Below are 15,422 nucleotides of genomic sequence, written 5' to 3' on the forward strand. Positions count from 1 at the left end.
CCAGGCTCCACCCTGGCTGTTTGCAGGTGAGAATCTCTCCATAGAGGAGCTTCCCTCTCTCTTCATGGTACTCTTAGAGTTTTGAGGAAACAATATCACCTCTTTGCCTGTTTAGAATAAACTGAGAAATAAATACTTGAATAAAAATCACATCAGCCTTGTGGCTAGCAATGCTTGATTTGAAGGACCCAGCTCAGATCTCAAGTGAACATGGCCTTCCTAAAACATTTTCCCCTGAAGATCTACGCTTCAGGACAGAACTGCAATGAGAATCTCCACTTGCTTCATACCTAGTGAAGAGGGAAAAGTCCCAGAGCCCCAGAGATAGATGTCATGCGTAGGTGACCTTGGACCTCTTTGGTGGAAACCAATGGATATCAGACATGGGACATGCCACTAGTCTCAAGGAGAGAAGCCAGACAGAGGAAAGGAAAGCTTCCCAGACTATCGCCCTCTCCAAAAGAACTCAAGACCTGATCTTGTCTGATGCTGCTGGTATTGTTAACTGTGTCTTCCCCAGCATTCTGAGTCATCCTTTTAAGAGAGACGTAAAGACACAAATACGAAAAAGTGCACCTGGGAGAGTCTGTGACAATCAGAAATTGGTGGAGGTGGGGAGTGTGTTAGTCTGTTTTGCATTGCCATAAAGGAATACCTGAGGCTGGGTAATTTATAAAGACAAGGGGCTTAATTGGCTTCAGTCTTCAGGCTGTACAGGAAGCATAGTGCTGGCATCTGCTTCTAACAAGGGCCTCAGAAAGCTTACAATCATGGTGGAAGGCGAAGGGGTGTCAGTGTGTCACATGGCGAGAGCAGGGACCAGAGAGGGAAGAGAGAGATCACAGGGTCTTTTAAACAACCAGATCTTATATGACCAAACTGAGCGAACTCACTCATCACTTAGGGGATGGCACTAAATCACTCATGGGGGATCTGCCCCCATTATCCAAACATCTCCCACCAGGCCCCACCTCCAACATTGGGAACCATATTTCAACATGAGATTTTGAAGTGACAAACATCCAAACCATTTCAGGGAATCATTTCAAAGGGGAGTTGAAAGAGGCCGAACCTGACTGGAAATTCATAGTATTACCTAAGTCCATCAGCCAACTTGCAAAGATTCCTAGGGAGCCTAAGTGTGGCCAGGTAGGGAGAAAGGAGACAAACAGAATGCACCCCTCACACTGTATTTGAATAAATAGTGAGACTGAAAAGTACTAAAATATAAAAGAAAATTATCTAAAGCATGCAAAAGATTTATGTCAAAAAATTTTAAAGATTAATCACAGGAAAATTTAGAAAACTTTAGACAGTAACTGCATTAAACTTTTAAGTAAATTGAAGAAAAGAGAATTAATGAAAAATAGTTGGAAAAAAACATACTAAATCTAAGAAAGAATTTAAGGAAACTCAAAAAGCATCACAGAATTTTCAATGGCATTAGAAAAAGTAAGGATCCCAATATGCAAAGCAGAAAATAAATCAGTAATATGGAAGAGAGATTTGAAAAAATAAAAGCTTAAAATATAAGGATGCAGGACATAGAAAAAAGTGACCTGAGGGATGATAAATAAGAAAACAAAAACCAATAGAAATTTCACCTAATGAAAATTGGCCAGCCTTAAGAAAGAAAATAGAACAAATTAAACAACAACTACAAAACATGTCTTAGATTTATTGAATCTTCAAATAGAAAGGATTAAAAAAGTTAAAGATAATTCTAATTTATAATGACCTCATTCTAATGATGAGGGCAGAATGCTGGAAAATACTCCTGTATTCCTTAGTTAATACAATAAAGCACAATAAACTATGGTAGGTATATGGATAAAGGCAAATGAAAATATTGGCAGAACTATAGTTGGACACGTGCTGTCTTTTTTAGGAGAGAAATTCTGGCTCATTTGCTCTTAGACATAAAGGCAACAGCTGTCAGCTTTGGCAGAACATTGGAATCACTTGAAGAGCTTTTAAAACATGGATGCTTGGGTCTCACCTCCAGGAAATCAGATTTAATTGGCCTGGGATGTAGCCTGGTGATTCTAAGCCATGAGTGGGACCCTCTGCTCTGCACTGGCCCTTGTGCTGATGAAAGCAGGGTGAAGAAAGAAGGGAAATAAATACAGGACCCTTGGGGTGAGACAGCCATGTATGCAGGACAAAAAGACCTCAGAGCCAAAGTCAGGGAAATGTCAGGTGTAATCCCAGGAGGAACCTTTGGGACCTGCAGTCAGGCCTCAGGGCCACCACTAGGGCTTGGTGAACTCTTCACCGTGCACTTCATATGTCAGCATCCACCAGTCTGGGACATTAGGACTGAAGGCCGCACCAACATAGATGGCATTAATCTCATCTGGCTGTCTAATCTAACCTAATATCTAATCTCACAAAGTCCCACATGTTCACATCTTCAATATCTCCCACCAAGGACTGGTTTGTGTCAAAGCTCTCAGTGAAGGAATCCTGCTCCTGCCCCAGGATGATGCCTGCCTCTGTCCCCACAGTGTATCCCTTCTTCAGACTCCTCCTCATCATGGGCTTCCCATCCACCCAGAACGCCATGATCCCTGAGGCGGACTCCAGTTTACACGGAGGTACACAGTGCAGGAGAACTCTTAGGAGACTTGAAAACTATCCCACTTCCACCCACGGATGTGCTGTAGCCTCCGGTCTTTTCCTTAGAGAGGAGGATTCATTATCTAGTCCTCATGGCATAAGAAAAAAAGGCTATGTTCACAGGTCAGGTGCATATAGACATGGAGACACACAATAAAGGCCTTGAGTGCCTTCTTTAGCTCTGCAGTCAGGATCACAAAGGAATTGTCTGACTCTGGGAAAACACAAAACCCTTTTTGTTCACATCTGTAGGATAGAAAGCAGAGAGAAAAAAGGTCATCAGTTAAGCTTGTCAGGCCACAAAGATGTATTCCTCGCAATGTACCAAGAGATTGGACTTAGAAACCACAGCCTGAACTCTGCCCCAGGCCACAACCTCTCACCCATGCTGGCCCTTTTCCCTAACTTGGCTTTGCACAGTCATATTTACAGGACAAGATCTCAGCCATCAGCGGAAGCAATGCCTCCCTGTCTGAGGGAAAGCACTGGGAAGCTGATGAAAACCAGGAAACATGGAAAACTCCATGTTTAGAGACCAGGAAACTCCGTGTTCCCTCCCTGCTATTGGTGTGCCTGGAATTTGGATCATTCTCTTGAAAAAAAGTATCAGTGGCTGAGATTCTGGGTTTGCACATCTGAGATCCCTCTGTTTCAAGTCTGCCCCACCTCGACCTCATATGTGCAGCAGTCAGGATGTCTCAGCTGGTAAATGATTTTCCAAAATTGCCCCCTTGGAGCCATGAATCAAAGCTCTAAGAGCAAAGAGAGCAAGATAAATCACAAAATGAGAGATCAATATGGGTTATTTATTAGAGAATGTGTGATGCCTGCTGCTGCTCCAACAACTCTGTGTGGCATCGCCTGGTGAATTAAGACAGTCACATTTTGAGAATCCGTTCTAGGGAAATGATGCAAAATATTGGGAGGGGGAACCTTTTTCACAAAGACAACCACTTAAAATTACTTAGGATAGCAAAGAGAAAAATGGGGCATGTTTAAGTAAACTGTATATGTCTACATCCACCAAATAGAATAGATAGCCATTTAAATGTTAGTGGTGAATTTTATACTATAACATGTAAATAAAAATGCTTTTGATAAAAGAAAAAATAACAGACTTGTATATACACTATTTTTAAAAGAAGTGACTATTTTAGAAAAAAAGTGTAAGGAATGCTTCCAGACAATATGTTCTTATTATAATAATGGAATTATGGAGGATTTTTTTCCTCACTAACTTTTCATAATGGGATTGTATTGCTTCTAAAATGAAGTGTGTGTGTTTACGTGAGTGTGTGTGTGTGTGCATGTGTAATTAAGAACCAAGGGAAGAGGGAATGAAGATCCCATTTTATGAATAGGACACCCAGTCTCACTGTGGTTATTTGGCTTTATGCCCAGAATGCCTAAAACAGAACAATATCAGTTGGACATCCTAAGCTATGTATACATTTAGGTACCAAAGTATTTCACAATATATTAATTCCCATATAAGACATCATTTCATGTAAAAAGAATCTGGAGCTTATTCATCATGATCTTATCATGAGTTTTCACATTGATATCCAATGAGAAATTGATAATAGAGGCTGTTTCTCCATTGACTAGGAGAACCAGCTAACATGTGGGCAGCATATTCGAAACGCGCAAGAGAAAAAGGACTATTACAAATGGTGGTACATTTCTGGACTGGTTTGTATTTTAATGATGTATAGTTTTAAAATTTTTAATATCCTTTTACAAACTTTTTGCATCTATTTTTTTAATTATATGACTGGCTTAAAGTAATTGCTCCAAAAGCTTTTGTTCTCTCATTCTAACCATTTGCCCAATAAAAGGTACATGTATAATTTAAACAAAAATAAATCATATAGGTGAAAAGATTGGTACAAAGAAGGAAGAAGATGTTTTTCCAATGCCAAATTGCCTTCTTGTTAGTGTCTGTCTGGGCTCCTTAGGTAAGTTAAAAGAATGCAGCTACCAATGCAATAGGTGAACACTGGTAATTTTATTGATTTCATGGAGCCCACTACATTATAGAACTACCTCCAAAATGGATATGCTGTAAAGAAGGCCTAAAATTGAAAAAGAGAGGGAGAGGCAGAGAGAAATAGAGATGGAGAGAGCAAGAGCTAAAGCAAAAGAAAGAAAAGCGCGAGAGACAGAATGAAAGACCTTCCCACAAACCATTTTACAACCCACCCCTGGCTCCAGCAACCCGCCAGTACAGCTCTATAACTGCTTGCAGCATATCACAGAGCATTCAGTGAACTTTATCAGGAGAGAAGTGTAATAAGCTTGCAATGCAACCTTTACCCTTCCCTCAGATATGTTTGTTTGGGAAGCCTCTTCTCTCTTCCTCCTATATCTGTGATGCTCTGATAAAAATACTGAAGGATTTCAGCTTTTCAAATATCTTGGCACTTTGGTTTCTCCACACTACAGAGATACAAAGTATTAATTGGGGAAAAAAGAGAACACTCTAAAACAAATACAATATTTGTCATCACAGTGAGGCTTTACTGAATAAATAAGAACACACTAAATACAGGGCTGTCGCTTTATTTAATCCTAGAGCTATGACTTAAAACTCCAGTGCTGAAATGGAGTTTGATATGCTCCCCTGACTCAAACGGAAACTACTATAACATAAGAAAATTAAGAAACAGGGGCATATCCATCAGAAATAACCACATGAACTGTCAGGGACCACAGCTGTGACTCTGCAATCTTTTCTAAACTATCACTCACCCTAGAAGAGTGGCACCTAGAAGAGTGGCTGTTGGAGACATGGCTGTACATTGTAATCACTAAGGAGGTTTAAAAATAATGATGCCTGAGTCTCACCGCCAGATAATCAACATAATTATCTGGTTATGGCCTAAGCAACTGGATTTTTGAAAACTCTCCAGGTGGTTCCAATATTCATAATCGAAGTTGAGAATTGCTGGCCTAGAGTCCCTTGTATGATTCTATGTCTTTGGTGAATGCCACTACGATGTAAAGTTACATCTAAGGGTGTGCATGACTGTAGAAGAGATGGAGGTCAGAGAAGAACTTTGACAATATGGCACAATTGTATTCATGCTAAGGCTGAATAGGATTTCTATGTGCAAGCCATTCTGCTAAGCACATAAGAACAAAATAAAAAGTAGGGTGATTGCCAGTGGACCTGCAATGGTAGCTAACACTGAATATACGGCATCCTGGAATGGCTTCCCCATAAGAAAAAACACACACATCCCCACACCCTCCGTCTTGCACTAGGGGTATAAGTGTAGGGTGTAAGCTTCTGTTGAATGTGGCAGTAGAATACAGTGGTTAGAAGCATAGAACTGAGTAGCCAGACTGCCTAGGTTCAAATCCTAGCTCTGAGCAAGTTAATTAACCTCTCCAAACCTCAGTTTTCTCATCTGTAAAATGAGGACTATAAAATATTACATAAATCATAGGATTGTCATTAAACAAGTAAATATATGTAAAAGACTCACAACAGTACCTGGCACATGGTAAGAGCTCAGTAAGTGTAAGAAGTTTTTGTTTTTGTTTTTGTTTTGTTTTAAGACTATGTGTGATCTTCCCTGTGTGATTAAGCAATTATCATCCTGGGGGCAGTGATGAGACGTTGGGAGATCACTTATCTGTGTGTATGAAGGGCATAGGACAGACGGGTCCACACTGAATGAGGCCTGAAAGAATGCACCAGAAGTAGGCTAAGGGGAAGACCTGGGTACATACAGATGCACTAGATGCTTCTTTAAACGTGACCACCTGGCCGGGCCTGGTGGCTCACGCCTGTAATCCCAGCACTTTGGGAGGCCGAGGCGGGCAGATCACGAGGTCAGGAAAACGAGACCATCCTGGCTAACACGGTGAAATCCTATCTCTACTATAAATACAAAAAAAATTAGCCGGGCGCGGTGGCGGGCGCCTGTAGTCCCCAACTACGCAGGAGGCTGAGGCAGGAGAATGGCCTGAACCCGGGAGGCGGAGCTTGCAGTGAGCCGAGATAGCGCCACTGCAGCCTGGCCTGCGCAAAAGAGCGAGACTCCGTCTCGGAAAAAAAAAAAAAAAGGTGACCACCTGCCTGCAAGCTTAGTGGGAGCCAGGCATGTCCCTGAGATAAGAAATCTGAGCTGTCAGGAAAACACTACAGTGATAGCTCTAAAAGCACATGGTACAAAAGAGCTTGTGATCTTGCATATTCCTGAGCACTAACCCCAGAGAATCTACTCTAGGAGGACTGGGGTCAATGAATCTATACTCAAACACCCCAGAGGAAAATGATGCCTGTAATCAGCAGACTATAAGTGATCACTGGGCCAGGTGATCCAGGAAATTTGAGCTAGGAGTCTGCATTTTCAGAAGGAAAAGGCTAACAAGCCCGCTTAACCTACGTTCTAGTGCAGAGGAAATGAAAAGATGCATATTTGAAATAGAGACAGGGAGCTGAAGAGAAGGAATCCAGGCAAGTACGACAACCCATCTGAGACTAGTGGGCAGTTGTCCTAGGATAAGCTACCTAGAAATCAAAGCAGTGCTTCTCTTTTCCCTGGGATTCTAGTGATCAGAAATCTATACTTTGGAAATTTGATCTACGTGGTGGTGGTGCTCAATCATCTAGAGTCATTTGCTTCCTTTGTCAATCTTTGCTTGCCTGGGGCACATCAAACTTGAGGATAGTGAAAGCATGGGGGAGAATATCACAGATTTAACATTCTACTTACTTTGTCAGCTGGGACTCCAAATCCATTTCCATCAGGTCCCAGCCTCACTTTTGAGGCAGCCTGTACTCTCTCCTCCAGGGCCTGGATAGACCAAGTCTCATCACAGAGGTGGCTTCTCATCCACTCACCTGGCCTGACATGCAGCCCATTCTTAACAATGCTCTCTCCATGACCACCTCTTTTTGGAAAGTGTGCAAGTCTTGTTGCCTGGCCAGTGAGCTAACATTTTTTTCTGACACAGGGAGATTTTAGGTTTCTGATCTGCACATCTCCATATCACATCCCATGCTAAGGCGCTTACATTAGGGTCAGGCCTGGCCCTAACCCTTATACCAACATGGCTATTTTCAGTTCCAAAAAGAAAGTGTTCTATCAAGTAGCAGCCTCCATCATCTCTGATTCATACTATTGTTCTACTTTCTCTTATTTGGCCTGTAAATGCACTACAGTATCTCTTCAGGCACTGGGCCACCACCCCGCTTTCACCTCCTTTCTATTATAGGTTTTATAGACCATTTGTCCCTATGTCTTTTTAACTCATTCCTTGAGGCCTGATTCTACTTCTGGAAAAATTGGATCCATGGTCCCTACTCTAACAGAAAACCAGTCCTGACAACATGGTTTTATTAGCATCAGCTAGAAGTGGCCACGGTGGATGTTTGATCTTACTCTCCACTTACTGCAAAAAAAAAAAAGCATTGCTTAGAACCAACATGCCCAAATCAGAATCATCTTCTTTGGCAGATGTCATCTAACATTTAATTGGATTACATCTAATAGCTCTATATGGTATGACAATTCACCAGTTACCTGGAAATACATTTTCCAACAAGTTTACATTGATGTACCCACCAGTAGGCTAAATTGCTTAAATCTAAACATCCTACGAATGCTTTGTTAAGATTTTTTAATGTTCTCTGAATGCAAATACCAGCTGTTAAGATTTTCCTGGCTCAAATTATTAAGGCCAGAGGCTGTCTACCAGACTACGTATAGTAAGATGCAAGCAACTGAATTCTGAAGAAAATATTAGCTCAACCTACATCCCTGGGGAGTTGGGATGGCCTTCTATAATTAAGACGTATCTGGATTATTTAACTAGAAAAGAGTGTCAATCCTCTCTTCTGCTTAGCTGAATGTGAGGATGGATGGATCTGCCCTAATTGGACAACAGAGAGTATTTGCACTCTCATTTTTGTCTGAGAATGTATCCTTAGCTTCTATGCTTACAAATGGTTATCAAAAGTCAATTAGAGAAGTCAATATTCATAAATAATGGCTTCAAAGACTTGTTGTTCACCCTTCTAACATTCTAAACCTAATTCTTAGCAAATGAGAAGCTTCAACTGCTGCCAACCAAGACAAATTCTACCAAGTTGTATTTTTATGTATTTTATGAATCTACATTTATGGATATAATACAAAATGGCTTAATAAGAATAATACCAGAAAACTGTTATAAGAGCTTACTATGTGCCAGGCACTGTAGTAAGTGCTTTGCTTGCATGATTTTCTTTGATTCTTATAGCAACCCTTTGAGCTAATTACTATTATTTCTCCTGCTTTGTAGGTAAGAAAACTGAGGCGTAAAGAGGTTATATCACCTAAGGTCACATAGCTAGTAAGTTGTAAAGCCAGGATTTGGACCTAGGCAGTCTGATTCCAGAACCTCTGTGCTTAACTAGTTTACCATATGCCTTCCCTAGGTAACCATTTGATATGCAGGAAGCCCCATAATTCATTCCTGGCTATGGTCTTTATGGAGTAACTTCTACTGGTCACTTAGTACTGAAAGACAGTGTTGAAGGACACTTCTGGAGGAAGCCAGCTGCTGTCATCTTTGAGGGGTCTGTTTCTACAAAGAACTTGAACCCGCTGGGGCAAGTGCATTCCAGTCACTGAACCTGGCAGCAGATCCATGGATCTCAATGATCTTTAGTTTTTGCTCCTCAAATTGGAATAATGATAGAATGAGAGTACTAAAACCCCCACAACTGGCCCTACATGAATGGCCAGCTATCTCAAAAGAGGGACTGTGCTTGTCAGAGGGAATCCCTTCAGGGGACTCTTGGACAGGTTAAAGTGCCATGGATATGTTGTGTAATGGGAAGTGTAAACTTACAGGGACTTGATTTCAAAGGTCATTAGAGAAGTTAGTCACAACTTCTAAAGCAACTATCAGAAAACAGCTTGGACTCACTCAAGTAAACAGGGGCTTTATTGGCTTATAGACCTGGGCAGTCCAGGTGTAGATCTGGTTCCAGACAAGGCTGATTCAGAGACTCCACGTGGTCAAGGCTCTGTTGTTTGTCAATCCCTTGGCTCCTCCACTTCCAGTTTGGCTTCTGTCCTCACAGTCTCTCTCCATGTGGCAAACAAGATGGCTACTGGTGGTCCCAGGTTCACGTCCTCTCAGCTTGGAAATCCAGCAGCAAGAAGATGTCTCACTCCCAAAGTCCATAACTCAATCCTTGGGAAGACTGTAGTTGGTCCTGCTAGGAACACGTAACTATCCAACTATCCTCCAGATAGGGAGCTGGGGAGATGGGAGATGGGCTCCTCTGACAGGACACCCTGTGGTTCACGTCCACTCTTGTGGCCTGGGTATATTGGGAATGCGGGGATGAAGAAAGAATTCACAGCCCCACAAGGTTCGTGTGGAAAAGGGGAGGAGTTTCCCAGAAGAGCCATAAAATTAAGAAAGCACTGCAAGCAAACAAAAACCAGTCATTTAAGTTCTTGGCAGTAACAACATATTTATACCTAGTGCTTCATTTTGCTCTGGAAAAAAAGCAGATCTGCTCTGCTGGGGCAATTCTAATGGCCTTTCCAGTGTGCTTTGAGAAAGTGGAGGGACTGCGTGGTATTGCTGGGCTTCCCATTTCAGGAGACCTGGGCCCAGCAGTTCTATGACATGATGATGAGCACTCTGGACCCAAACCAGACACCTGGCCAGTGTCCTGATTCTGAGACTGAAGAGCCCTGTGAATGTGGGCAATGCCCTCCTGCTTTCTGGGGGTCATGGGTGGGGAATTAAATAGAAGATCAGCGCTTCCTTCTCAGCTCTTGCCTTATGAGTTTTTTATAACATCATTTCTCCTTTCTGGGTGTTAGTTTTCTCATCTATGTGAGGTAAGAAATTATCTCCAAGATCTGTCCAACTTGAAATAAAAATGAAAACAAAACACCTCAAATTCTGATTCTTTTGGACCGTTTCCCAGCATAGTTAACGAGCTCCCAGACCAGACACTTTACCTCCATTCTCAGGCGCTGAGGAGGGTGGAGCAGGCCTGCAATGCATATAGGGGAACAAAGGCCCAGAGACAGAGACGTGGGAACCATGCAGTGTAAAAAAGCGGGAGGTACCAGAGACAGAGACGTGGGGCCCATGCGGTGTAAAAAACCGGGAGGTACCTTCAGGACCCACAGCTGGGCCTCAGGGCCACAGCTGGGGTTTGGTGAACACTTCGCCTTGCACTTCATACTTCAGTGCCCGCCAGTTCAGGACATTAGGACTGAAGGGCCCGCCAAGATAGATGGTGTTAATCTCATCTGGTGACAGCACAAAGTCCCACATGTTCACATTTCCAATGTCTCCCACCAGGGACTGGCTTCCTTCAAAGTTCCCACCGAAGGAATCCTGCTCCTGCCCCAAGATGATGCTTGCTTCTGCCCCCACAGTGTATCCCTTCTTCAGACTCTTCCTCACCCTGGGCTTCCCATCTACCCAGAACTCCACGATCCCTGAGGCGGACTCCCAGCTTGTACAAATGTGTACTGGAGCTACTGTGACTTCAGGAACCTCGAATAATATTTCAGACCCACCCACTGTAAAACTGTATCCTATATCCTTAGACCAAAATATGAGAATCTCATTGTCTTGTCTCTTGGTGGCATACGAGAAAATACTGTACCCACGGGTCGAGGACAGTTCCGTGTAGAAGTGGAGGCACACAGTGAAGGCTTTGAGAGGCTTCGTTAACGGTGCTTTGAGGGATACATAGGAAGTATCCGACTCTTTGGGAAACACAAAAGCCTTCCTCGACATGTCTGTGAGCCAGAAAAACAAGCAAATGTGAGAGGTTTCTCAGATCACACAGATCTATCCCCTCACTTACGTATAGAATTTAAGATTGAGAAACAGACTGACCCCTTCTCCAGTTACACACCACACACACACACACACACACACACACACACACACACACCATGAAGGATGCTCCACTGTTCTGTTCATACAGTCTTTTTTTTTTTTTTTTGAGACTGTTCATGCAGTCTTAGACCCCACCCCCATACCTCAGATCAAATCTCTCCCATAGCCTGGGGTGGCCCTTACCTGTCTGGCCAAAAGCATGAGAGAGGCTGGTCAAGACCAAGAAACACAACAGCTTCTCCATGGTCACGTCCTGCTGCCAGTGATACAAGGGCCTGAATTCACTCCTTTGGAAAAGATGTATTCGGCTGAAAGTTCAGGGGCTAGAAGTCCTAGATCTCTTGCCTTAGAGCTACCTCCTCCTGCCTGGATTTATATCCAAAGCAGTAAGGGAGTTTGCGCCACTATGTAAATAATTTTCCAACATTGCTTGTTGGGGCAGGTGTCAGAGCTTCGGGAAGAGGGGAAGCAAAATTATTTCAGAACAGAGAAATCAATGTGAGTTATTTATTACAAACTCCTATGACTACTGAATTACCAATTCTTTATGACAGGAAAAATGAAGAAATCTCTCAGGGCTCCACTTTGGCTATCTATCCTGCGAAAATAATGGGAAATGGTAACATATTAAACGAGTGGCCATCTGGGTGCACGTGGTAGCTGCCTCTCCAACACCTACTTCAGCCCAAATCATAGAGTTTGACAAAGGAAATCTGACAGCTTCTGGAGATGGACATTATCACTAACCCCTTTCAATTTGCTTATTTACAGACTGGGAAATGAGGAAAACAAACATGCTCCTCCCAGAGCCATGGACACATTTTTTTATTATTATTATACTTTAAGTTTTAGGGTACATGTGCACAATGTGCAGGTTAGTTACATATGTATACATGTGCCATGCTGGTGTGCTGCACCCATTAACTCATCATTTAGCATTAGGTATATCTTCTAATGCTATCCCTCCCCCCTCCCCCCACCCCACAACAGTCCCCAGAGTGTGATGTTCCCCTTCCTGTGTCCAAGTATTCTCATTGTTCAATTCCCATCTATGAGTGAGAACACGCGGTGTTTGGTTTTTTGCATGGACACATTTTCTCAGCCAATTGAGTACACTTATTAAGAACTCTCTAGACATCTTGGCACTAAATGACGGCCCTGACAGTAAAAGTCCAGTAAAATGTGTGCCTGATCACAGACATAGCATTATATCAAAGTTTCTTCCAACATTTTTCTCTGAATATGTAAAGCTTCAGGCAGGAGTCAGGATAATCTGATTCTACTCTTTCCTCTATTCACAAGATTCAAGTAATCCCTCCACACTGTCTGTCAATCTTACTACAGTTCCCTACTTAACTCACTCTTCAAAATGACTATTATACTCCTTCTCCTTGCTCCTCAAGTCCCCAAAATCTCATTTATTCTTTCATTCAGCTGATGAACTCACCTTTCATTGAGAAGTTAGAAGCAATCAGAAAAGAACCACCGTATCCTTTGTAGTAGAGTCTTCTAGCCATTCCCTAACATCCATTCTCTACTTCTCATAAGAGAAGAATAACATTTTCAGTTGGGCGCTTGGTCATCCCCTCAAACACCAAATTTCCCAGCCCCCACTGTAGCTTGCAGTGATGATGTGATTAAATTAAGGCCAACGAGATATGAACAGAATAGGGACCATCTCTAGGTTGTGCTCTTTAAGAAAGGTATGTGCTTTCCCCTCCCACTTCCCCCTTTTTCCCTTTGACTAGTATTCAGTCATGATAGCAGGAGATGGAATAGTTCACTTTCAGGCCAGCAAGTGTAAGCTGCATGTTGAGGTTGGCATGGCAACAAGATAGATGGAGCCTGGATAATTGGGTATGGAGCCACTGCATCAGCTCTAGGCTGCCTACCTGAAAATTTACTTAAAGGAGAAATACTCTCCTCTTTTGTTAAATCACTGTTAACTCAGTCTTTCTGTTCTTAACACCTAACTGATATCCTTATATATCCTCCTACAACCCAATGTACCAGCCTTTCTGTCTTCCTCTATTAAAAGGGATGAGCTCTCCCTGTGTTACATCTAAGGCCAACCCTTGCAATTCTTCAGTGGATCCCAGACCCTGTCGACTATGCAAGGAATTTTGCTCCTATAGGTATCCTCTCTATCTTCTGTATTATTAATTTATTCATCTTTACTTGATCATTTCCACAAAACCATACTATAATATATTTAATCTTTTAGAGAAAGAAGAAAGAAAAGAGAAAAAAGGAAGGATGGGAGGGAGAGAGGGAGGAAGGAAGGAAAAGTTTACGTGGGTTGACAACCTCTATTTTCCATCTCCTGTTCCCTCCTCAATCCATGGAAATCAGCCATTGGCCTTCACCACTCTAGTGAAGCCAACATAAACAAACACCTCTCTCATTAAATCTAATAATGAATTTTCTGTTCTTATTTTACCCAGCTTCTTGGCAATATTCAACACAGTTTATAACTTCCTCCTGAATTCTTTCTTTTCTTTTCTTTTTTTTTTTTTTTTGTGAGATGGAATCTCGCTCTGTCGCCCAGGCTGGAGTGCAGTGACATAATCTCAGCTCACTGCAACCTCTGCCTCCTGGGTTCAAGTGATTCTCCTGCCTCAGCCTTCTGAGTAGCTGGGATTATAGGCACACGCCACCACACCCAGCTAATTTTTTGTATTTTTAGTAGAGACGGGGTTTCACCATGTTAGCCAGAATGGTCTCAATCTCCTGACCTCATGATCTGCCCACCTCAGCCTCCCAAAGTGCTGGGATTACAGGCATGAGCCATCATGCCCAGCCAACTTCCTCCTGAATTCTTGCTCCTAGTTTAAAAGTGAAATAATTTCAAGGCTTTATGCCTAAAAGAAGTGGTCCTCTGTCCCACCACTCTCTATCTGATATGGTTTGGCTCTGTGTCCTCACCCAAATCTCATCTTGAATTGCAATCCCCACATGTCAAGGGAGGGACCTGGTGGGAGGTGGGTGGATCATAGGAGCGGTTTCCCCCATGCTGTTCTCATTTTAGTGAGTGGGTTCTCACAAGATCTGATGGTTTAAAAGTGTTTGGCAGTTCCTCCCCACCCTCTATCTCTCCTGCCACCTTGTGAAGAAGGTACCTGCTTCCCCTTTGCCTTCTGCCATAATTGTAAGTTTCCTGAGGCCTCCCGAGCCATGCAGAACTGTGAGTCAATTGAACCTCTTTTGTTTATAAATTACCCGGTTTCAGGTAGCTCTTTATAGCAGTGTAAAAACAAACTAATACAGAAAATTGGTACCAGGATAGTGGGATACTGCTATAAAGATTCCTAAAAATGTGGAAGCAACTTTGGAACCAACTAGGGGCAGAGGCTGGAAGAGTTTGGAGGGCTCAGGAGAAGACAGGAAGATGTGGAAAAGCTTGGAACTTCCTGAGTTTTGTTGAATGGTTTTGACCAAAATGCTGATAGTGATATGGAAAATGAAGTTCATGCAGAGGTGTCCTTAGATGGAGATGAGGAACTTATTGGAAACGGGAGTAAAGGTCACTCTTTCTATGTTTTAGCAAAGACAATGGTGGCATTTTGCCCATGCCCTAGAGATCTGTGGAACTTTTAACTTAAGAGACATGATTTCTTGAATGCTTTGGTGCTTAAGAAATTTCTAAGCACCAAAGCATTCAAGAAGTGACCTGGCTTTTTCTGAAAACATACAATCATATGTGTTCACAAAGAGATGATCTGAAATTGGAACTTATGTTTAAAAGGGAAAGGGAGCATAAAAGTTTGGAAAATGTGCAGCCTGACCATGTGGTAGAAAAGAAAAACCCATTTTCTGGGGAAAAATTCAAGCTGGCTGCAGAAATTTGCATAAGTAATGAGGAGATGAATGTTGATAGCCAAAACAATGAGGAAAATGTCTTCAGGTCATTTCAGAAGATCTTC

General features: G+C 42.4%; 1 protein-coding gene and 1 pseudogene across 4 annotated transcripts, besides 1 other annotated feature; both read right to left on the reverse strand.

Moving 5' to 3' along the window:
- CRPP1 (C-reactive protein pseudogene 1) lies at window positions 2,208-2,854 on the reverse strand (annotated as a pseudogene).
- On the reverse strand, window positions 9,547-11,847 carry CRP (C-reactive protein). Of its 4 annotated transcripts, NM_001329058.2 has the most exons (4): window positions 11,683-11,847; window positions 11,261-11,396; window positions 10,761-10,861; window positions 9,547-9,826 (listed from the first exon to the last, which is right to left on the reverse strand). In NM_001329058.2, the coding sequence occupies exons 1-3, from the start codon at window positions 11,741-11,743 to the stop codon at window positions 10,783-10,785; spliced, it is 276 nt and encodes a 91-aa protein (NP_001315987.1). In that variant the 5' UTR covers window positions 11,744-11,847; the 3' UTR covers window positions 9,547-9,826; window positions 10,761-10,782. The 4 variants fall into 4 exon arrangements, with proteins under 4 accessions (NP_001315987.1, NP_001369632.1, NP_001315986.1 ...); NM_001382703.1 differs by having other exon boundaries at window positions 9,547-10,898; window positions 11,265-11,396; NM_001329057.2 differs by having other exon boundaries at window positions 9,547-10,052; window positions 10,761-11,396.
- Window positions 14,897-15,191: a silencer, noted in NCBI's record as "tiled region #15100; HepG2 Repressive non-DNase unmatched - State 24:Quies". NCBI's record gives its function as "represses a minimal TATA promoter and a strong SV40 promoter by Sharpr-MPRA in HepG2 cells {active_cell/tissue: HepG2}" and the evidence as "EXISTENCE:reporter gene assay evidence [ECO:0000049][PMID:27701403]".

The sequence above is a fragment of the Homo sapiens genome, chromosome 1, assembly GCF_000001405.40.
Source record: "Homo sapiens chromosome 1, GRCh38.p14 Primary Assembly".
NCBI classification, from domain to species: domain Eukaryota; kingdom Metazoa; phylum Chordata; class Mammalia; order Primates; family Hominidae; genus Homo; species Homo sapiens.